The sequence below is a fragment of the Homo sapiens genome, chromosome 2 (assembly GCF_000001405.40).
Source record: "Homo sapiens chromosome 2, GRCh38.p14 Primary Assembly".
NCBI classification, from domain to species: Eukaryota; Metazoa; Chordata; class Mammalia; order Primates; family Hominidae; genus Homo; species Homo sapiens.
This window is the reverse complement of record NC_000002.12, coordinates 95,112,619-95,136,879: the sequence shown is the minus strand read 5'-3', so window position 1 is coordinate 95,136,879 and position 24,261 is coordinate 95,112,619. Positions and strand designations below refer to the sequence as shown.

The 24,261-nt window shown below is 43.9% G+C and overlaps 2 protein-coding genes across 12 annotated transcripts in view, besides 1 other annotated feature; both read left to right on the top strand.

Annotated features, from left to right (window-relative positions):
* The window catches only part of ZNF514 (zinc finger protein 514), a 36,744-nt gene extending 22,969 nt beyond the window's left edge, over positions 1 to 13,775 (top strand). For 2 of the 6 annotated variants that reach the window (XR_001739001.2, XR_007083290.1), the window contains exon 6: positions 13,054 to 13,775. The gene's annotated coding sequence lies outside the window, so the exon portion shown is untranslated. Of the gene's footprint in view, positions 1 to 112; positions 220 to 5,798; positions 7,094 to 13,053 lie in introns of those variants that run through there. The other 4 variants (XR_007083314.1, XR_923048.3, XR_001739002.2 and 1 more) reach the window with 3 other exon arrangements.
* Positions 14,750 to 15,019: a silencer, noted in NCBI's record as "silent region_11739". NCBI's record gives its function as "represses an Ori minimal core promoter by ATAC-STARR-seq in GM12878 lymphoblastoid cells {active_cell/tissue: GM12878}" and the evidence as "EXISTENCE:reporter gene assay evidence [ECO:0000049][PMID:35858748]".
* The window catches only part of MRPS5 (mitochondrial ribosomal protein S5), a 36,635-nt gene continuing 27,250 nt past the window's right edge, over positions 14,877 to 24,261 (top strand). For 4 of the 6 annotated variants that reach the window (NR_136152.2, NR_136153.2, NM_001321996.2 and 1 more), the window contains exons 1-3: positions 15,072 to 15,146; positions 18,935 to 19,015; positions 21,677 to 21,814. Coding sequence is in view for 2 of the 6 variants with exons in the window: in NM_031902.5 (NP_114108.1) it covers positions 15,089 to 15,146; positions 18,935 to 19,015; positions 21,677 to 21,814 (277 nt within the window). In the remaining 4 variants the exon portion in view is untranslated. Of the gene's footprint in view, positions 15,438 to 18,934; positions 19,016 to 21,676; positions 21,815 to 24,261 lie in introns of all 6 variants that reach the window. The other 2 variants (NM_001321997.2, NM_001321995.2) reach the window with 1 other exon arrangement.

Here is a 24,261-nt window from a genome sequence, read left to right as displayed (position 1 = left end):
AACTGAGATAAGTTCTGCCATCTGGGCTGATTTTACCTCAGATAGGGGACTATATTCTAAAGAGAACTTAAATTAGTAATAGCTTATCCTGCTTAATAACTTCCAGTTTCAGTTTTCAGGTATCATCCATCATAAACAACAACAAAAATATTAGGCCATGGTTGTCACAGGAGTCTCTGATGGATCTGAGGTACAGAAAGTTCCATAACTTTCTGTTAGGTAAGACAATTGTGAGTTCCCTCTTTTTTTTTTTTTTCCTGTTAGGAGCAGGAGAATGGCAGGATTCAGAGTGCTGCAGTGGTGAACAGAAATGTCAGAGGGAGAGAATAATAGAGCCAGGTGTGGTGGCTCATGGTTGTAATCCTAGCACTTTGGGAGGCAGAGGCGGGTGGATCACCTAAGGTCAGGAGTTCAAGACCAGCCTGGCCAACATGGTGAAACCCCATCTCTACTAAAAATAAAAAAATAGCCAGGTGGGGTGGTGTGTGCCTGTAATCTCAGCTGCTCAGGAGCCTGAGGCCGGAGAATCACATGAACCTGGGAGGCAGTGAGCCAAGATCACACCACTGCACTTTAGCTTGGGCAACAGAGTGAGACTCCATCTCAAAAAAAAAAGCATTGTAGATGTTTAATTAGTTGGTTGAACATGAAAAACTATTTCTATTCACAAGTGATATGATCTTGTGTATAGAAAATGCTAAGGAATCCATTAAAAACCTTTTAGAGTAAATGAGTTTAGCAACATTGCTGGATACAAGATCAATATACAAAAATGAATAATATTTATTTACTTAATTAATTTAATTTTTATTTTTTTGAGATGGAGTCTCGCTCTGTCGCCAGGCTAGAGTGCAGTGGTACGATCTTGGTTCACTGCAACCTTTGCCTTCCAGGTTCAAGTAATTCTCCTGCCTCAGCCTCCCGAGTAGCTGGGACTACAGGCCACCACGCATGGCTAATTTTTGTATTTTTAGTAGAGAGGGGGTTTCACCATGTTGGCCAGGATGGTCTCGATCTCTTCACCTTGTGATCCACCTGCCTCAGCCTCCCAGAGTGCTGGGATTACAGGCATGAGCCACCGTGCCTGGCCAAAAATGAGTAATATTTCTATACATGTGTGATGAACAATTCAAAAATAAAATTAAGAAAACAATTCCAGACCAGACGTGATGGGTCATGCCTGTAATCCCAGCACTTTAGGGGGCTGAGGCAGGAGGATCGCTTAAGCCCAGGGATTCAAGACCGGCCTGGACAACATAGTGAGACCCTGTCTCTACAAAAAATACAAATATTAGCCAGGTATAGTGGTGTGGGCCTGTAGTCCCAGCTACTTGGGAAGCTGAGGTAGGAGGATTGCTTGAGCCCAGAGGGTTGAGCCTGCAGTGAGCCATGATCATGCCACTGTACTCCAGCCTGGGCAATAGAGCATGACCCTGTCTCAAAAAAGAGAAAAAAAAAAAAAGAAAGAACGAAGGAAAGAAGGAGGGAAGGAAGGAAGGAAAGAAAACAATTCCATGTGTAATACAATGGCATCAAAAAGTATAAAATACTTAGGAATAAATTTAACAAAAGAAGTGGCAAAACATATTCTGAAAGCTACATGACACTGTTGAAAGAAATTAAAGAAGATATAAATAAATGAAAAAACATCTCACGTTCATGGATTGGAAGACTTACTATTGTCAAGATAACAATAGTACCCAAATTGATCTACAGATTCAAGGCAATCCCTATAAGAATCCCAGCTATATTATTTGTAGAAATTGAAAAGTTGATTCTAGCATTTATATGAAATTGCAAGGGATCTAGAATAGCCAAAACAATCTTGCAAAAGAATAATGAAGTGGAAGGACTCACACTTACTAATTTCAAAACTTACTATAAAGCAACTGTAGTCAAGATAGTATGGAACTGGTAAAATTATGGATATATAGACCAACAGAATAGAATTTTGAGCTCAGAAATAAACCTATGTGTCTATGGTCAACTAATTTTCAACAAGAGTGCCAGGACCATTCTATGGGGAAGGAATAGTCTTTTCAACAAATGGTGCTGGGACACCTGTACAGCCACATGCAAAAACTGGACTCTTACCTAACCCAATATACAAAAATAAATGCAAAATGCATCAAAGCTAAAATGGTAAAACTCTTAGAAGAAAACGGATAAATTTCATGACCTCAGATTTGGCAGTGGGTTCTTAGTTAAATTAGTGGTTTCTTTAAGCTAGGGTGACAGACTGGACGAAGTTTAGGGGAGAAACAGCTAAAGGGTATGGGGTTTCTTTTCGCAGTAATAATAGATGTTCTAAAACTGCCTCTGTTCATGGGTGCACAGTCCTGTGAATATACTAAAACCCACCAAGTTTACACATTAAATGAGTGAATTGTGTGGTAGGTGAAATATATCAAAATGTAGCTGTTATAAAAGGGGATGAGGTCAGCCCTAGGGAACTGGAGAGCCTTAACCATGGCCTGAACTGCCTGTATCTGGTTCTCCAGAGCATTGGTAGCGAGTCCTTCCAGGGAAACACCTGGGAGGGAGGCCTTAAAAAGCGGTTCGAATAACCAGGGTGCAGAAATAGGGGTGATCCCTAAGACTGAGGCCTAATTTGCTGGCCTGGTTTGAGCAAATGAGTAAGGGTGATGAGATGTGGCTTGGACATCCAGGGACCACCAGAAAGAACCTTTGTAAAAATCACAAAGTTTATGATTTTTGAGAGGCTATCAACTCCCAATAAAAAAATTTGGCCAAGATTCTTGGTAGGGGAAAAGATTCCTTTAGTCCTTGGTATAAGATATCCATTCTCATGGTCAGCTGAACTTTTTTGAGTTCATATACTTGTTACATTAAAATTTTTATTTGGAAATAACTGTAGATTCTCATGCAGTTGTGAGAAATAATACAGAGAAATCCCATGTACCCTTCACCTAGTTTTCCTAATGGTAACACTTTGCAAAACAATATGACAACCAGCATATTGACATGGATACAGTTAAGATACAGAATATAGTAATTCCTCAATATCCCTGAGGGATTGGTTCCAGGATCCCTGTAGATACCAAAATCTGCGACTTTTCAAGTCCCTGATACAAAATGACATATAATAGTATTTGCATATAACCCATGCACATCCTCCTGTAGACTTTAATCTCTAGATGACTTATAACACCTGATACAATGTAAATGCTATGTAGTAGTTGTTATACTGTATTGCCTAGGAAATAATGACAAGAAAAAAGTCTGTACATGTTTAGTACAGACACAACCATCCTTTCTTTTCTGAATATTTTTTATCTTGGTTGGCTGAATCCACAGATAAGGAACCCATGGATATGGAGGGCCAGCTGTACTTCCATTACCACAAGGATTCATGTTGCCCTTGAATAGCCACACCACTTCCCTCCTGCTGCCACCCCCTTCCTAACTCCTGACAACCACTCATCTGGTCTCCATTTCTGTTTGTCATTTCAAGAACATTGTGTAAATTAAGCCATGCAGTATGTGACCTTTTGAAGTTGATGTCTCCTTCTTCTTTTTCTTTTTGAGACAGGGTCTTGCTCTGTCGCCCAGGCTGGAGTGCAGTGGTGTTGTCGCAGCTCACTGCAGCATCAACCTCCTGGGCTTAAGCGATTCTCCCACCTCAGCCCCTCAGAGGGCTGGGATTGCAGGCATGAGCCATCTTGCCTGGCCAAGATTGGCTTTTTTCATTTAGCATAATTCTCTGGAGAGTCACCCAAATTGTGTGTATCAATGACTTACTCCTTTTTATTGCTGAGTAGGAGTATATGACATGGATTTACGAGAGTGCGTTTAACCATTCACCCATTGAAAGATGCATGGGATGTTTCCAGTTTGAAGGCTATTACAAATAAAGCTGCCATGAACATTCATAAACAGGTTTTTTAGTGTAAATAGGAGTTTCCATTTATCTGAGATAAATTTTCAGGAATGCAATTGCTAGGCGTAGTAGGGTAGAGGCATGTTTAGCTTTTTTTTTTTTTTTTTTTTTGAGATGGAGTCTTGCTCTGTTGCCCAAGCTGAAGTGCAGTGGCATGATCTCAGCTCACTGCAACCTCCGCCTCCTGGGTTCAAGCGAGTCTCCTGCTTCAGCCTCCTGAGTAGCTGGGATTACAGGCACATGCCACCACGGCCGGCTTATTTTTGTATTTTTAGTGGAGACGGGGTTTCGCCATGTTGACCAGGCTGGTCTTGAACTCCTGACCTCGTGATCCACCCATCTTTGCCTCCCAAAGTGCTGGGATTACAGGTGTGAGCCACTGTGCCTGGCCTGCATGTTTAGCTTTTTAAGAAACTGCCAAAATGTTTTCCAGAATGGCGGTACCATTTTATGTCCCCACCAGCAATGTATGAGTGATCCCGTTTCTCACATCCTCATCAGTTTATGGTGTTGGCACTACTTTTTACTTCAGTCATTTTGATAGGTGTGTAGGGATATATCATTGTGGGTTTGATTTGCATTTCCCTAATGGCTAATATGGTGGGACATCTTTTCATGTACGTCTTTGCCTTCTGTACATCTTTTTTGGTGAAATGTCTTTTCCTCATTTTCTAATCGAATTGCTTGTTATTTTACTGTTGAGTTTTGAGAATTCTTCATAAATTCTAGATACTAGTGTTTTGTCAGGTATGTGGCTTGCAGATATTTCCTCCCAGTCTGTAGCTTGTCATTTAATTTTCTCTCTCTGTTTTTTTTTTTTTTTTTTTTTTTTTTGAGACAGAGTCTTGCTCTGTCGTCCAGGCTGGAGTGCAGTGGCACACAATCTTGCCTCACTGCAACCTCTGCCTCCTGGGTTCAAGTAATTCTCCTGCCTCAGCCTCCTGAGTAGCTGGGATTACAGGTGTCTGACACCATGCCTGGCTAATTTTTGTATTTTTAGTAGAGACAGGGTTTCACCATGTTGGCCAGGCTGGTCTGAAACTCCTGACCGTAAGCGATCCACCCTCCTCGGCCTCCCAAAGTGCTGTGATTACAGGTGTGAGCCACGGCACCTGGCCCATTTCATTCTCTTAATGGAGTCTTTCATTGAATAAATGTTTTATAAAAAATTTGGGGAAGTCTAATTATTTGATAAAGTATAAGGTTCAGGTTGTGGCTTGCTTATTTATTTTGCCTGTGGTTGTCCAGTTCTTCCTGCACCATTTGTTGAAAAGGCTATCTTTTCCTCACTGAATTGCTTTGGCCTCTTAGTAAAAAAATAAGTTGGGCATTGTTTTAATGCCCTCTCATTCACTCTGTTGGTGAGGCGAAGATTCCAGCTCTGGGGTTTGGGGATGGCTGAACACCTGACACCCGACACTGGAAAGAAGAGCTCCACAGTGGTTTATGACTCACATGTACTGAGAGGAGGATACCCCATGCCCACTGGGCAACATAGGGGCTGCATTTGGGAACAGAGTGAACCAGCAAGGGCTGTGGGAAACAGGCTTTGTAGTATTAAGAGGGAGAGATAACTCCTGGTTCCTGTGGGAGGAGGTACCGGTTTGTTTGAATAATTCTGTGGGCTGGCAGGAACTGAACCCCATTACTCTGAGATAAGCAGAAACTGTGCCTGGTCCCTTTGATATAGAGCATTGCTTGATTCTTATCCATGAGGAAGAGTGGGGAGTAGATCTTACAGTTAGGGCATTAGGAGCCCTCCTGATTTCACCAGATGTCAAGGCAGCAGTCCATATTATTGGGCTTTAATTTTAGGCCTTACACAACAGGCATATTTGTGTATTGCTGGATTTTCTAATTTGTTCTGTCAATCTGTCTATCCTCCTATTGCGGGAAGTCAGGGACCCCAAACAGAGGGACCGGCTGAAACCACGGCAGAAGAACGTGAATTGTGAAGATTTTATGGACATTTATTAGTTCCCCAAATTAATACTTTTGTAATTTCTTAACGCCTGTCTTTACTGCAGTCTCTAAACATAAATTATAAAGATTTCATGGACACTTATCACTTCCCCAATCAATACCCTTGTGATTTCCTATGCCTGTCTTTACTTTAATCTCTTAATCCTGTCAGTTGAGGAGGATGTATATCGTTCCAGGACCCTGTAATAATTGCATTAACTACAAAAATTGTACAGCATGTGTGTTTGAGCAATATGAAATGTGGGCACCCTGAAAAAAGAACAGGATAACAGCAATTGTTCAGGGAATAAGAGAGATAACCTTAAACTCTGACTGCCGGTGAGCCGGGCAGAACAGAGCTATATTTCCCTTCTTTCAAAAGCAAATGGGAGAAATATCACTGAATTCTTTTTCTCAGCATGGAACGTCCCTGAGAAAGAGAATGCACACCTAGGGGTAGGTCTCTGAACCGGCCCCCCCGGGGCATACCTGTCTCTTATGGTCGAGATTGCAGAGGTCAAATAAACTCCAGTCTCCCATAGCACTCCCAGGCTTATTAGGAAGAGGAAATTCCCACCTAATAAATTTTGTTCAGACCCGTTGATCTCAAAACCCTGTCTCCTGATAAGATGTTATCAATGACAATGGTGCCCGAAACTTCATTAGCAATTTTAATTTCACCTCGGTCCTGTGGTCCTGTGGTCCTGTGATCTCGCCCTGCCTCCACTTGCCTTGTGATATTCTATTACCTTGTTAAGTACTTGGTGTCTGTCACCCACACCTATTCGCACACTCCCTCCCCTTTTGAAAATCCCTAATAAAAACTTGCTGGTTTTTGTGGCTTGTGGGGCATCACGGCTCCTACCAATGTGTGATGTCTCCCCTGGACACCCAGCTTAAAAATTTCTCTTTTGTACTCTGCCCTTTTATTTCTCAAGCCAGTCGACGCTTAGGAAAATAGAAAAGAACCTACGTGATTATCGGGGCAGGTCCCCCGATATCCTCCTCCAAAACCACATATTCTTGATTATAAATAAATAAATAAGAGACCCCTGGAGGCCTCTTAGGTGTCTCTTTCTGGCTGACCTAGCTGGCTGTGCTTAATTAAGTGGTGTTACCAGACTCCTACTTGCTGACCAACAAAATCACTGTTCTTAAGAGTTCCCTTAGGTTTGAACTTCCCCAAACTCTGTTTTAAATAAAGTCAGTTCCTTGAGGGGTAGCTTTGGAGCTCTCTGGTCTTGTGGACTCTCTCTCCTACTGGGCAACATCTCTGAGCCACTACTCCCAGGCAATGGGTGGGGGTGGTAGCCTCAGATCTTCTTGGCTTGATTCTCCTGGTGTGGAATCCCTGTCCAATGAATGAACTGAGATGAGGGCAACGGGAGCCCCTATCTCCTCATCCTGGTGCACCAGTGATCCAGGCTTATCCTGTAAGTGGGGGCAGTTTGGAGGAAGGAAGCCTCTGATCTCTCAGCCACACATAGTAGGAATTTAGCCTCTTCAACTAGGAGTTGGAGGAGATGAAGAATCTTGTGGTCTGCCTTTCCCAGCGAGACACCACATCCCTTGATTGGGAGCTGAGGTGAGCCCTGTCTTCTTCATCACACCTGTCGAGAATGGAGCCTTCATCAAGCTGAGCTGGGAAGGAGGGTGCTGAGGGTTGGAGTGGACTGTAGCTCAAGTGCCATGGACTCTTTTGTTCTTATTGAGTTTTAGTAGCTCTTCCTGAATAAATGTTTCTTCATTTGCTGCACGTCCTTAGGACAATTTCCAGAGATTAAAAAGCTTCTTAATAGTTTTCACCAATTATGCTTATTTCACTGAGGAGTGGGTCTGCATAACTCCTCACCATGCCACCCTGGAAGTGAAACTCCTCCCTAAGCAAAACTTTCAGAGTCAGTGTTTTGGCTAAAGAGGCTAAAAATGTCACCAACAGTTTTCTTCGTAGACTGACGGAAGTGTAGGCCCAGAGTGGCCTATACCAGAGGAAACTGAAATACCAGAATTTCCTTGGTATACTACAGAAGAAGCGATCCAAAGGCTTGGGGAGATTAGAATGATAGAGTGGATTTATCTTATGAGAACTGCTCACCCACCTTGAGAGGGTCGGAGGATCCTTCTTTCACTACAGTTGTGAGAAATAAGTTGTGAGATGAGCTTCAGTGTCCTTGATGCTGTCTGTGATGGCTCTCTTTTTCCACCTTTCCTTCTCCTCCTCCTCCTCCTCTTCCTCCTCCTTCTCTTTCTCCCTCTTCTTCTCCTCCTTCTTCTTCCTTCTCCTACTCCTCCCTCCTCCTTCTTTCTCCTTCTTCCTCCTCCTCCTCTTCCTCCTTCTTACTTCTTCTTCCTTATTCCTCCTCCTCCTTTTTCTTTCTTCTTCTCCCTCCTCCTCCTTTTTCTTTCTTCTTCTCCCTCCTCCTCCTCCTCATCCTCTTCCTTCTTCTTTCTTCTTTTTCTTGAGACGGAGTCTCACTCTGTCGCCCAGGCTGGAGTGCAGTGGTTCGATCTTGGCTCACTGCAACCTCCGCCTCCTGGGTTCAAGCAATTCTCCTGCCTCAGCTCTCAAGTAGCTGGGATTACAGGGACACACCACCATGCCCAGCTGTTTTTTTTTTTTTTTTTTGAGACGAAGCCTTGCTCGTGTCGCCCAGGCTGGAGTGCAACGGTGGGATCTCAGCTCACTGCAACCTTCACCTCCCAGGTTCAAGTGATTCTCCTGCCTCAGCCTCCTGAGTAGCTGGGATTACAGGCACCTGCCACCATGCCTGGCTTTTTATATTTTTAGTAGAGATGAGGTTTCACTGTGTTGGCCAGGCTGGTCTTGAACTGCTGACCTCAGGCAATCCGCCCATCTCGGCCTCCCCAAGTGCTGGGATTACAGGCGTGAGCCATCACGCCCAGCCCTAATTTTTTATTTTAAAAACTTTTTGTAGAGGTGGGGTCTCACTGTGTTGTCCAGGGCTGGTCTTGAACTCCCAGACTCAAGTGATCCTTCCACTTCAGCTTCCCAAAGTGTTGGGATTACAGGTGTGAGCCACTGCATGTGGCCATGGCTCTTTAGGTCAAAAATATAGAGGGAACAGCTACCATCAAACTAAAACACTAGGCCGGGTGCGGTGTCTCACGCCTGTGATCCCAGCACTTTGGGAGGCCGAGGCAGGTGGCTTACCTGAGTTCAGGAGTTCAAGGCCAGCCTGGCCAACAGGCTAAAATCCTGTCTCTACTAAAAATATAAAAATTAGCCGGGCGTGGTGGCAGGCACCTGTAATCCCAGCTACTTGTGAGGCTAAGGCAGGAGAACCACTAAGGCGGAGGCTGCAGTGAGCTGCGATCATGCCACTGCACTACAGCCTGGGCAATAAGAGCAAATCTCTGTCTCAAAAAACAACACAAAACACAAAAAACAAAAAAACAAAAACAAAAACAAAAAAACAAAAACAAAAACAAAACAACCAAAAAACACTAAACACAATGAAGATAGTGAGGTGACAGGCACTATGTGGTGGCACTTAATCACTGAACAGAAGTTGGGTATGGTTACCATATAGACAGTAGAACAAACACAATCATCAGAATGGCCAGGCTCACTAGGACCTTTGGTGTTGACCTTTGGTGTTTCTGGAAATAAAAGAGATGGAGAACCTACTGAAGTCTTACTGGATTTGTATAGGCAGAAAAGATCTAGGCCTAGTGAACAGAAGTCTGACTTGAATCACCAAAAGAGGGAGTCATGTCTCCTCAATCAATTCCCAGACTTGAGTGAATTCACAGATCCAGAGTCCCTCGAGTGAAGGGCAGGCTGGGTCCCCTCTCAGGAAAGGCATTGGTACACTACCAAAAACGTACAGCTAATCTTCCTTTCAGCCTTCCCCAAAGGTACTTGTAGCCATTTACCAGGGTGACTATGCATCAAGGACAGAGAAATATCCAGATGTTTTAAGGATTACTCAACACTGCCTCTGAGCTGACACCAATTCCTGGAGACCCGAAATGTCACAGTGACCTGTCAGAGCAGAGGCATAAAGAGATCAGGTGATTGGTGGAGTTTTAGGTCAGGTCTGTCTCACGGTGGGCGCAATAGGTCCCAGAACCCATCCCGTGGTTATTCCTGTAGCTATGGGAGGCCAAGGCAGGAGGATTGCTTGAGGCCAGGAGTGTGAGGCTGCATTGAGTTATGATAGTGCCAGTACACTCAGCCTGGGCGATACAGCAAGATCCTGTTTCCAAGAAAAAAGAAAAGAAAAAAAAAGAAAATGGGCTCACATGTAGAATATACAAAGAATTCTCAAAACACAGCAGTGAAAGAAACCAAACAATCCAACTAGAAAATGAGCAAAAGACATTTTACTCAAGAGGGTATACAGATGGCAATTCTAGAAGCACATGAAAAGAAATTCAACATCATTAGCTATTAGGGAAATGTAAATTAAAACCATGATGATATGTCACCATACCTATGAGAGCAGCTAAAAAAAATGGGGATAACACTGAATGTTAGTGAGGATACAGAGAAACTAGATCTTTCACATATTGCTGGCAGGAATATAAAATGGAATGGCCACTTTGGAAAGTAGTTTGGCAGTTTCTTTCTTTTTTTCTTCCTTTCTTTCTTTCTTTCTTTTTTTTTTTTTTTTTTTTTTTTGAGATGGAGTTTCACTCTTGTTGCCCAGGCTGGAGTGCAATGGCTCAATCTCGGCTCACTGAAACCTCTACCTCCTGGGTTCAGGTGATTCTCCTGCCTCAGCCTCCTGAGTAGCTGGGATTACAAGTGTGCGCCACTACACCTGGCTAATTTTTGTATTTTTAGTAGAGATGGGGTTTCACCATGTTAGCCAGGCTGGTTTCTAACTCCTGACCTCAGATGATCCACCCACCTTGGCCTCCCAAAGTGCTGGGATTACAGGCGTGAGCCACCATGCCCGGCTGGCAGTTTCTTTAAAAACTAAACATATACTTACCACACAATCTAATAATCTCACAGCTTGACATTTATCCCCCCAAATTAAAACTTATAGCCACACAAAATCATGTACATGATGGATATATTTCAAAATAATTGAAAGCAGAGATTTGAAGAGATTATCTGCACACTCATGTTCACAGCAGCATTATTCACAATAGCCAAAAGGTGAAAGCAACCCAAGTGTCCATTGACAGATGAATGGATAATAAAATATGATCTATTCATACAATGGAATATTATTCATAATATTAAAAGTAAGGACATTCTGGCACACGCTATACCTGGATGAACCTTGAGAACAACATGCTAAGTGAAATAAGCCAGTCACAAAAGGACAATACTATATAACTGCACTTACATGAAGGGAGAGGGGAATGGGGAGTTATTGTTTAATGGCTGCAGTTTCAGTTTTGAAAGATAAAAGACTTCTGTGGATAGATGGTGGTGATGGTAGCACAACAACGTGAATGTACTTAATGCCACTGAATTGTACACTTAAAAATGATTAAGATGGTCCAGGTGTGGTGGCTCACGCCTATAATCCCAGCACTTTGGGAGGCCAAGGTGGGTGAATCACAAGGTCAAGAGATCGAGACCATCCTGGCTAACATGGTGAAACCTGTCTCTACTAAAAATACAAAAATTAGCTGGGCATGGTGGTGGGCGCCTGTAGTCCCAGCTACTCAGGAGGCTGAGGCAGGAGAATCGCTTGAACCCAGGAGGCGGAGGTTGCAGTGAGCTGAGATCATGCCACTATACTCCAGCCTGGGCGACAGAGCGAGACGCGACGCGAGACTCCGTCTCAAAAAAAAAAAAAAAAAAGGATGGCAATTTTTATGTTATGTGTATTTTACCACAATTTTAAAATTTCTGGCTGGGCACAGTGGCTCATGCCTGTAATCCCAGCACTTTGGGAGTCTGAGGTGGGCGGATCGCTTGAGGTCAGGAGTTTGAGACCAGCCTGGGCAACATGGTGAAATGCTGTCTCTACAAAAATACAAAAATTAGCTGGGCATGGTGGCACAGGCCTCTACCTAGCTACTCAGGAGGGTGAGGCAGGAGAATCGCTTGAACCTGGGAGGGGGAGTTTGCAGTGAGCCGAGATCGCGCTATTGCACTCCAGCCTGGGCGACAGAGTGAGACTCTGTCTCAAAAAAATAAAAATAAAATAAAATTTCTAAATATCAAAAAATCACATACATGAATGTTGATGGCAGCTTTGTTTGAAATAGTTAATAACTGAAGACAGCCTGGGTGCAGTGGCTCACGCCTGTAATCCCAGCATTTTGGGAGGCTGAGGTGGGTGGATTGCTTAAAGGCCAGGAGTTTGAGACCAGCCTGGCCAACATGGTGGAACCCCGTCTCTACTAAAAATACAAAAAATTAGCTGAGTGTAATGGGACACGCCTGTAATCCCAGCTAATCAGGAGACTGAGGCACGAGAATCGCCTGAACCCAGGAGACGGAGGTTGCAGTGAGCTGAGACTATGCCACTGCACTCCAGCCTGGGTGACAGAGCGAGACTCTGTCTTAAGGAAAAAAAGAAAAGGAAAAGGAAAATAAAAATAAAAATAATAATATGAGACAAACTAAATGTCCTACAATGGGTGAATGGTTAAACAAATGTTAGTGCCATGGAATACTACTCAGCAATGTAAAGGAAGAAACTATTGGTACATGGAACTACTTGGATAGACGTCAAGGGTATTATGCTGAGTGAAAAAAAGCCAGTCATGAGATCATGTATTATCTGATTCCATTTATATAATGTTCTTAAAATGATAAAATTATAGAGATGAGAAACAGATTAGTGGTTGCCAAAGGTTAAAGATGGTGGAGGAGAGGATAAAAGAGGGGGTGGGTTTGACTCGAAGGGAGATGCACAGGTGATCTTGGAGATAGAACAGTTCTGTATCTCGATTGTGGTGCTGGATACAGAAATCTACATGTGACACAACTGCATAGAACTACACACACATACACAAATGAGTGTATGTAAAACTCATAAAATCTATGGATTGTACCGATGTCAGCTTCCTGGTTTTGATGTTGTACTATAGTTATGTAAGATGTACCATTTGGGGAAACTGAGTAAAGGATACATGGGACCTCTCTGTACTATTTTTGCAACTTCCTATCTGTATCTTTGAATCTGTAATTATTTCAAATTTAAAAGTTAGAAACAAACGACTAAGTAATCAAAACTTGCTTTGGGCCTTAACAGAGTCTGGAGGCTTGACCATTGACCAGCAACTTACCATGCAGTTTAAGCTGCTCATCATGAACTGGCTGTTGTATGATCACCAAGCCATAAAGTTGTGTGTGCACAGCAACACTCCATCATCGAATGGAAGTGGTACATATGAAACTGAACTGGAGCAGGACCTGAACATGCAAGCTACATGATCTTCTCTCTCTCAACCCCTACCCACAGCTTCATGAGGAATTACCTGTGACCAGTTGCCTGAAGAAGAAAACTCTTGGGCTTGGTTTACTCATGGTTCTGCATGATCTGTTGGTATCACCTGAAAGTGGACAGCTGCAGTACTGCAATCCCACTCTGGGATGCTTCTGAAGGACGGCGGTGAAGGGAAATCCTCCCAGTGGGAAGAAGATAAGAGTAATGTGCCTGGTTGTTCATTTTGCCTGGTTAGAAGTATAGATCTATACTTTTTCATGAGCAGTGGCTAATGACTTGGCTGGATGGTCAGTACTTGAGAGGAACATAATTAGGAAGTTGGTGACAAAGAGGTCTAGGAAACAGGTATGTGGATGGACTTCAGCCCAGAATGTGAAGATAATTATTTCCCACATGAGTGCTTATCAAAGGGCGACCTCCACAGAGGATTTTAATGAGGTGGATAGAATAACCCATTTAGTGGATGTCAGTCAGCCTCTTTACTTAGCCAAATGGACTCATGAATAAAGGGCTAGGGATGGAGGTTACACATGGGGTCAACGTGGACTTTCACTCGCCAGGGACAATCTGGCTACAGCTCCTGATATGGCAACACTCCTGGGGGCTCAGCCAGCTATCTGGTTGTAGGTTGGACCATGGAAGGGGCAGCAATTGTTCTCACTAGAATAGACACTTTGGATATGGATTTGCTGTTCCTGCCCACAATGCATCTGCCAAAACAACTATCCTTGGGTTTAATTATTTCACACACTGTTGCCTCTGACTTAGGAACTCACTCCACAGCAAATGAAGTGTGGCAGTAGGTCCTTGCTCATGGAATTAGCTGGTCTTACCATGTTCCCAATTATGCTGAAGCAGTTGGCTTTACACATAGGTGTAATCAATCTCTTTTCTCTTAATTTCGCCAACTCAATATATAAAAGGCCTGTTGAAAATGGTGTACATCAAAATAACCTGGAGTGAAATAAGTTGTCTATTTCAGCAAAGAAAATGGGAAAATAATAGATGAAACAACTGTGTTCCTCTTGATAATCGTTAAGTCTAGCTTGTCAGTATTTTTACTCTTCGGTATGTTTGAAAATTTTTATGCTAGACTCGAAAACCAGACTACCCTCTTACAAGACATTGTATCTGAGCAGGCTACCCTCTTACAAGACATTGTGCCCTTCTGTGTTGCAGGTGTGTGGGTCACTTGAGTAGGCGTAGATGGTATGGAGGCAATAAAAAAACCATGGCCCAGGGCTGAGATATGCATGTGTGACCAAACGTTAGAATCAGTATGAATCCACAAGTGTATGTGAAATGCAGGTCATTTAAGTGCTTAATCTAATGAAACTCAGAGCTTTACTGGAGTTGGGGATGAACACTTTCTCTACATTCCTCGCTTATTCATCCCTTGGATCCTCATTGCACTTGGCCCCCTTCCGTGCTTCTATGAACCTCGCAGGGGTCCGCAGTGCCAGCTCGGGTAAGTCCGAGGGTCCCCCGCCAGCGGACCCCTTCAGAGCTCCTGCACGAGCAGCCAAATCCACCCGGCCGGTCCTGCCCTCTCTCCGGCGCTGCAGGAGCCAGCTAGCCCCGCCCACGCCCGGCCGCCAGTCCAAGCCCCGCCCTCGGGTCCTAACGGGAGGCGCCCGCGGGGCTGTCCGCGGTCGCGCCGGGCTCCGCCTGCAGTGTGGCCCGTCCGGACAGTCCCTCACCCCGGCCTGCGCTGCTGCGTGGACTCGGGCCTCAGGAATTCCGCTGCGGCCCAAGGCTTGCCGTTTGACGAGGAGCAGTCGCGGTAGGCGGTGGGCAAGGCTGCCCTGGGCGGAGGCCGAGGCGCGGCTCGGACTCCAGCATGGCGACCGCGGTGCGCGCTGTGGGCTGCCTCCCCGTGCTGTGTAGCGGGACGGCAGGTGAGAGCTGGGACGCCGGGAGCAGGGGCTCTGAGCGGGCCGGGAGTGGGGGGCTCGCCTGGGGCCTGCAGAAGTCGGGGCGGAGGGAAGCGAGAAGCCGCGGCCCCCGGCTCTTCACGCCGTGCCCCCACCTTCCGCCGGAGCCGCTGTGTGACCTTGCGCGCGTCCTCTCCCTCTCTGGGTCGCGGAGCTCTTGTCTGTAAAATGAGGGGGAACTGGACGTCGTTCTTCAGGGTTCTTCCCAGTTCACGAAACCGCTTGAGCGTGCTTGGCGAAGAGGAGCGGAAACTGGCAAGCATCGCCTTTGGGGCGCGTGCGACCCCCGGGTTCATTTGATGTTGACGTGGGTTTGTCGTCCAGCATAACGTTTATCTCTAGGAGACGCTCCGTGATTGACTTTGCATTTTCTGTTTGCTCAATTTTACTGGAAGTCCACAATCCACCGTTTGTAGTTTCGAAATCTGAAGAGCCCTAGAGCCCGAATATGTGTATTTTAAAACTCATTTAGCTGCAATCTTTGACCTGAAGTCATTTGGCAGAAAATCTGACTTGAACATTGTTTTGTCCGTGTTGTCTCCGTCTCCTCCTTTGTTTTTTTGTTTTTGTTTTTGTTTTTTTGAGACAGTCTTACTCTGTCGCCCCGGCTGGAGTGCAATGGTGCGATCTCGGCTCACTGCAACCTCCGCCTCCCGGGTTCAAGCGATTCTCCTGCCTCAGCCTCCTGAGTAGCTGGGATTACAGGCGTCTGCCACCATGCCTGGCTAATTTTTGTATTTTTAGTAGAGACGGGGTTTCACCATGTTGGTCGTACTGGTCTCGAACTCCTGACCTCGTGATCCACCCGCCTCAGCCTCGAAGTGCTGGGAGTACAGGTGTGAGCCACCACGCCCGGCCGTCTCCTGCTTTTTCAAGGTCCTGTTCAAATGGCTCCTAGCTGTTGTAGCTTTCCTTCATTTTCCTCACCTTATCTTCGAAATGCCTTCATGAGGTATATACTGCTGTTCCCATTTTACAGATGAGGGAGTTAAGGCACACAGCTTCAGAAACTTGCTTAAGGTTAGGCTAGGTGGACAATAAGGTTTTTGCACCCATATCACCTGGCTCCGAAGCCTGTTTTTTGTTTTTGGTAACGGCTTCCTTGTTGAGACATAATTCACATACCATACAATTAATCCGTTTAAAGTGTACATTTCAGTGGTTTTTAGTATATCACCAGAGCAATGCAGCCAACATTATAATCACTGTAAAAAGAAAACCTGTACCTTTTAGCTGTCACTTCCCAGCTTCCCATTGGCCTCCAGCACAACCACTGATGTACTTTCCTTCTCTCTCTCTGTAGCTTGCCTGTTCTGGACATTACATATAAGTAGAATCATGTAATATGTAGTCTTTTGTGATTGGCTTCTTTCATTTAGCATAATGTTGTAAAGGTTCATCCTTGTAGCATGTACCAGCACTTCATCCTTTATGGCTGAATGATATTGTATGAATACCACATTTTGTTTTTCTGCTCATCAGTTGAACATTTGGGTTGTTTCCACCTTTTGGCTCTTAGGCCTATTTTGCTAGAAACATTTGTGTGCAATGTTTTTGTAAGTATATTTTTATTTCTGTTGGGTATATACTTAGGATTGTAATTGCTAGGTCATATGGAAACTGTGTTTACTGTTTCTTCTTTAACCCCCTTCTGTCGCCCTGGCTGGAGTGCATTGGCACGATCACGGCTCACTGCAGCCTCCATCTCCTGGGCTTAATCCATCCTCCCACCTCAGCCACCTGAGTGGTTGGGATTACAGGTGCATGCCACCATGCCCGGCTAGTTTTTCTTTATTTTTTGTAGAGTGGGTCTCACTATGTTGCCGAGGCTGGTCTCTAACTCCTGGGTGCAGGCAATCCTCCCGCCTTGGCCTCCCAAAGTGCTGGGATTATAGGTGTGAGCCATACATGTGACATGTATGTTTAGGTGTCAAGGAACTGCCAAACTGTTTTCCAAAGCTGCACCATTTTACATTCCCACCAGCAGTATATGAGGCTTCCAATTTCTCTACTTCCTTGCCAGCACTTAATGTCTGTCTTTTTTACTATAGCCATCTTAGTGGATGTGGGTTTTTTTTTTTTTTTCGAGACAGGGTCTTGTCCCATTGCCCAGGTAGAAGTGCAGTGGCACAGTTGCAGCTCACTGCAGCCTCAACCTTCTGGGCTCGGGTGACCCTCCCACTTCAGCCTCCTGTGTAGTTGGAACTACAGATGTGTTCCATCATGCCTGGCTAATTAAAGAAAAAAATTTGTAGAGACAGGGTCTCGCAATGTTGACCAGGCTGGTTTTGAACTCCTGGGCTCAAGCAGTCCTCCCGCCTTAGTCTCCCAAAGTGCTGAGATTACAGGCATGAGCCTCCTTACCTGGCCAGCCCAGTGGATGTGAAGTGGTATCAGTTTGTGGTTTTGATTTGCATTTCCCTCATGAATAAGAAGCATATTATCATGTGCTAATGGCCATTTGTATATGTTTTCTTTTGTTTTTGTTTTTGTTTTTGTGAAATAGCTATTCAAATATGTTGCCCACTTTTATATTGGGTTGTCTTTATTGTTGAATTGTAGGTGTTCTTTATGTTTTTTAGGTACAAGACCCTTATATCATATATATGATTTGCAAAATTGTTGTCCCATTCTGTGTGTCTTTTCACTTTCTTGATAGTATTTTTGAAGCCACAAGTTTTAAATTTTGATGAAGTCTCATTTGTCTATTTTTTTTCTTTTTGTTGCTGTGCTTTTGGTGTCTCATCTAAGAAGCCATTGCAAAATCCAAGGTCATGATGATTTATCCCTATGTTTTCTTCTAAGTTTCATCGTTTTAGCTCTTACCTATAAGTCTTTGGTGCATTTTGAATTAATTTTTATATATGGTGTGAGGTAGGGTGCCAACTTCATTCTTTTACATGTTGATATCCAGTTGTCCCAGCACCACTTGTTGAAAACATGATTCTTTCCTCATTGAATGGTCTCAACACCCTTGTCAAAAATCACTTGCCCATAAATGCTGTGTCAGAGCCTGTTCTGGAGTACCACACTGTGTGAGAGGGTACACAGTACAGTCAGCGTGGTGCTGCAGGGATTCCAGAGGGAAGGGGGAACATTGTAGGATCAGGGAGGCTTCACTAAGAGGTGATGTTTCAGACAAACAGAGAACCTTGCAGAGACACAGAAGTATGCGAGAGCACAGTAGGTTCAAGACTGACTACAAGTCTGGCATGGCCAGAGGGAAGATGGAGGAGAGAAAGGTGGGGCAGCAGGCTGGTGTGGAAGCTTGGGGCCATGTGGCAGGCCTGTAGGCCATGCTGAGGAGTTTTGACTTTGTTCTGAAGATAGTAGGGAGTCAGAGAATAATCTATCAGAGCTGTGAAGTGACCAGACCTGTTATTTTAGAAAAGCCATGAAGCAGAGGGGGAGAGATTGAAATTGGGAAACCTGCTAGGAAACTTGTTACTCTGTGGCTGAGTGGTGATGAGGCTTGAGCAAAGAAGGGGCATTGAGGCCACAGGAAAAGGTACAGCTGGCAGGTGCATTGATTTTTGAGGAGACTGAAGGGCTTGGTAACTGGTTGGATGTGAGGGTGAAGGGAGAAGATGAGGTATGGTGTCAGCTACTTGACAAGTTGTCCTGGAGCCCAGAAATTACTTACTCCCTCGTCTTGGTTCTTTATTCTATAGATATATTTTGTGGGTGTTACTGTTTAAAATGTTCCTTTAATGTAGAAATGTATCTTAAATTTTTTTTTTTCCAATTTGCAGGTCATTTATTGGGGAGGCAGTGTTCCCTAAACACCTTACCAGCAGCTTCCATTTTGGCATGGAAGAGTGTTCTCGGCAATGGTGAGATTCATTAATGCTACTACCTTTTCTCATAAGATCTAATGTCAAAGTAGTTTCTGTAGTTTTAAAAAATATAAGTAATCACCTGCTTTTTTCTTTTCTCTCTTTTCTTTTTTCATTTTTTAGCCTGGTTAGTCTTACTGCAATAATCACATTCTTTATGATGCGATTACATAGGTTCTGAAGAGTATTTTCAGATTTCTTATGATTGCAATTGTTATAGTTCAAGGCTTTATGAAATAGTAACTAAATAACAATTACGGGGTAGTTTCTGTGTATTAGGCTTAGAGCAGGGACAATGAAGAGTTAAATTTTCAATTTATCAATTGTTATGTTAATTGAAAATTTAACTCTTCATTGTCCCTGTCTTCTCCAACATAGTAAGAAGCACAATTTTGATGAATCTCTGGTCAGTGTTTTTATTATTAAGTTTGTGTGTATATTTACAGCTGAGTTAGGTAGAATTCTATCATTACATTTTCTTTTTCCTACAACAGTTTCCTTAGTACCTGTTACAGTATTTTTCTAAATGCTGCAATAGATTGGTCAGACAAATAGCAATAGTTTTCTAAAATCTCTCAAACACATCACTGATCAGCTGGTTTGATTTAATAGAGGAGATTTAAATTAGGAGGAAGAAGTTCATCATGGTGAAAACCATAAATGCTGAAACAAAACCCTCCTTGAGGTCAGACTGTGTTTCTTTTTTTTTTTTTTTCTTTTTGAGATGGAGTCTTGCTCTGTTGCCCAGGCTGGAGAGCAATAGCTTGATCTTGGCTCACTGCAGCCTCCGCCTCCTGGGTTCAAGCGATTCTCCTGCCTCAGCCTCTCGAGTAGCTGGGACTACAGGCATGTGCCACTACACCCAGCTAATTTTTGTATTTTTAGTAGAGACGGGGTTTCACTATGTTGGCTAGGCTGGTCTTGAACTCCTGACCTCAAGTGATCCGCCCTCATCGGCCTCCCAAAGTGCTCGGATTATAGGCATTACAGGCATGTGCCACCACACCCAGCTAATTTTTGTATTTTTAGTAGAGACGGGGTTTCACCACGTTGGCCAGGCTGGCCTCAAACTCCTGACCTCAAGTGAGCCACCCGCCTTGGCCTCCCAAAGGACTCTGCATGTCTTTGACTTGAGCCACACGAGGGTGCTTTTTGGGCTTGGCCCATTTTGGATTCCAGGGCAATTGTTAACTGAGATGGGGACTTCATGGTCTGAAATTAATAATAATTCAGAGAATAAGAACAAAACCAAAACTGGTAATTGATCATTGATAATCTGTAACTGAGTAATTTAGCATAAGCTGATGCCATCTCCTGTTATAAAAATTATAACACGTTTTAAACAAAGTTGGTTGTAACAGTGTATTTTAAGTGACTGTTTCTCAAATCTAAAGTCAATTTCTTTCTGCTTTTGACAGTTGGACCTTTTAAGGTACATTATTAGATAGGAGAAGTATTTCAGGCTTTCAAAAAAAGTTAATTCTAAATTTATTAGTAATGATTTTACACTTTTTAAAGTATATCAGAGATTGCAGTGCTAAACAGTACAAGATTAAATATCTTATTTAATATTAAGTTAATAATTAAATATTTAATATTTAGTATTAAGTTACTTATGTTAATATTAAATAAGATATTTTATTGAAAATTAAAGAGCTGGCCAGGCGCGATGGCTCATAGCTGTAATCCCAGCACTTTGGGAGGCCGAGGCGGGTGGATCACGAGGTCAGGAGTTCAAGACCAGCCTGGCCACCATGGTGAAACCCTGTCTCTACTAAAAATACAAAAATTAGCTGGGTGTGGTGGCGCATGCCTGTAATCCCAGCTACTTGGGAGGCTGAGGCAGGAGAATCGCTGAACCTGGGAGGTGGAGGTTGCAGTGAGCTGACATCGCGCCACTGCAATCCAGCTTGGGTGACAAGAGCAGAACTCCGTCTCAAAAAAAAAAAAAAAGAAAATTAAGGAGCATACAAGAAAAGCTAAAGCTAAAGTGTATGCTGCATGATGGAATTTAGAATGATGAAGTCCTGAGTTTAAAAATGAAAAGCCCGTATTTCCTGTCTACTTTTTTATTGACTAATTCATTAAGTGAGCTAAGAGGGAACTCAGTGTGTCATCTGTCTTCCTCTGTGCAGTTGAGTAACTCATCTCCCAGAGGCAACCGTTGTTTCCAGGTTCTTACATACTTCTGGGTTAGTCTATAAAATGCATTCACACCCACTCCTTGTTTTTTAACATGAAGAGTAGGATAGTGTACATGCTCTCCTGCACCTTGCTCTTCTGACCTGGCCAGTTGCAGGTCTTTCCACAGCAATACGTTGCTGGCTGTTTACAGCAGAGGGCGCCAATTGCCCAGAGTAGACTGCTGACCTAGGTTAGCGAATGCAGTGCTGAAACTGCGGTATGGACAAATCTGCTTCTTTCTTTACCCAGCTGCCCCCGTTGTGCGGATGAACTATAACTTTCCCAACTAGGCTGGGCATTTAGGTTGTTATTGATCAAAAGTTTTATTTTTAAAAGAAAGACTCCTAAAAATCTGATTCTTAAAAGTTCAGGATTTTAGTGACTTATTTTTGTTAGTAATGATTATTTGATGCTAGCAGTGTTTTTCCACAGCTGTGAAACATCTAACTCAAAGTTTAACCCATCTGCCTACAGGCCATTTGTCATCACTGGGAACCAGAGACACCCATCCCTACGCCAGCTTGAGCCGTGCACTGCAGACACAATGCTGTATTTCTTCTCCCAGTCACCTGATGAGCCAGCAGTATAGACCATATAGTTTCTTCACTAAATGTATGTAGAATGGCCACAAACTTCCTGTTTCTTGAAACAGGAAAAGGATTTCTTATATCTGAATTTTTCTTCTTTTTTACATGAATTAAGATTTTAGTGATTAGTTTACAATGTACTGTTAAAATGAAAATGTTCCTTGATGTACATCCTAGAATTATCTCACATGCTACCAGTTGTATTCTGGGGAGTACTAGTTTGCTTTAGTCCCCTTGTTTGGGGCACCTGAGGCCTGAAGGGTATTGAATCATGGCCCATATCTCTTGCTGACTTAGATTCACACCAAGAATATACTCATGTTTTCATTCGTGCCTTAGTTGAGGAGACAGGACATCTAATTGGAAAAAGTTAATTGTAAGGAGATATTGTTCACTAACACTAGTCTTATTTGTGATAGCATTTAAAAGAGTCTAATCTGAACTGAGACTAGCTTGTCAGGTAACAAATGGAGATTGAGTTTAAAACTCAGCATTAGGCAAATTAAAAGAAATTAGGATTGGCCGGGCGCGGTGGCTCATGCCTGTAATCCCAGCACTTTGGGAGGCCGAGACGGGTCGATCACAAGGTCAGGAGATCAAGACCATCCTGGCAAACACAGTGAAACCCTGTCTCTACTAAAAATACAAAAACAAAATTAGCCAGGCATGGTGGCGGGCGCCTATAGTCCCAGGTAGTCCCAGCTACTTGGGAGGCTGAGGCAGGAGAATGGCGTGAACCCGGGAGGCGGAGCTTGCAGTGAGCTGAGATCGTGCCACTGCACTCCAGCCTGGGCCACAGAGCGAGACTCCATCTCCAAAAGAAAAAAAAAAAGAAATTAGGATTATAAAGGCAATTCATGATTAGTTTAGAATATTTGGTAAATACAGAAAAATAAAAAAGAGATAATCACCTGTATTCCTACTATGAAATACTGAGTTTGCTGCCTTTTTTTTTTTTTTTTTTTTTTTTGGGAGATGGAGTCTCGCTTTGTCACCAGGCCGGAGTACAGTAGTGCGATCTCGGCTCACTGCAACCTCCACCTCCCGGGCTTGAGCGATTCTCCTGCCTCAGCCTCCCAAGTAGCTGGGACTACAGGGGCGTGCCACCACACCCAGCTAATACTTGTATTTTTAGTAGAGATGGGGTTCCACCATGTTGGCCACAATGGTCTTGATCTCTTGAACTTGTGATCCACCTGCCTCAGCCTCCCAAAGTGCTGGGATTACAGGCGTGAGCCACCGTGCCTGGCCTTCTGCTTTTTTTAATGTAATATATTGCATTTTTCCGTGGACTTCTGCAGTGCGACGTTATGACCATAGAGTATTTCATTGTATGGATACAGCTCACTTTAATTTGGAAGTCTCCTAGTAGGTCATTTGTGTAGCAACAACGCAGAAAAGACTTGGTAGAGGATTAAGCAACATAGGCTTAGTTGCACAACTACAGATTCCAGTACAGAGAAAAGAGAGATGGATAGAGTTGGGGCCATTAGTCTCTCCTCTTAGTATCCATAGCCCCAGTTTTTTCTAAGAGTTGACTTTGTACTTTAGTGGGTATATCAGATTTACAAGCCTTGGGAATTTTTATTTATTTTTATTTATTTATTTATGTTTGAGACGGAGTCTTGCTCTTGTCGCCCAGGCTGGAATGCAGTGGCGTGGTCTCGGCTCACTGCAACCTGCACCTCCTGGGTTCAAGCGATTCTCCTGCCTCAGCCTCTTGAGTAGCTGGGACTATAGGCGCGTGCCACCACGCCCAGCTAATTTTTTGTATTTTTAGTAGAGACGGGGTTTCACCGTGTTAGCCAGGATGGTCTCGATCTTCTGACCTTGTGATCCACCCGCCTCGGCCTCCCAAAGTGCTGGGATTACAGGTGTGAGCCTCTGCACCTGGCTGGGAATTTTTATTTTTTAATAGCCTTTTCCCTGTTCTAAAAAGCCTTGTTCTAGAGGTGGCCTTACTCTCCAAGACCTCATCCTTCATGGTTGTCCCACCCCTGCCTCGGACTCTCTTCATTCACTGGTGTTCTTCCTCTTCTTCCTCAGTGACATGAAGCAGTACTTTTTTTTTTTTTCTTTTCTTTTTGAGACGGAGTCTCCCTCTGTCGCCCAGGCTGGAGTGCAGTGGCGCAATCTCAGCTCACTGCAAGCTCCACCTCCTGGGTTTATGCCATTCTCCCGCCTCAGCCTCCCAAGTAGCTGGGACTACAGGCACCCGCCACCACGCCCGGCTAATTTTTTTGTATTTTTAGTAGAGATGGGGTTTCACCTTGTTAGCCAGGATGGTCTCGATCTCCTGACCTCGTGATCCGCCTGTCTCAGCCTCCCAAAGTGCTGGGATTACAGGCGTGAGCCACTGCTCCTGGCCTGACTCAGTACTTGTGTGGGTTTATGGCTCCAAGTCACAGTAAGATTTGCTCCAATTGGGCCAACTCAGTTGAAACTAGCATGGGGCTAGTTTTTGCTGTTTCA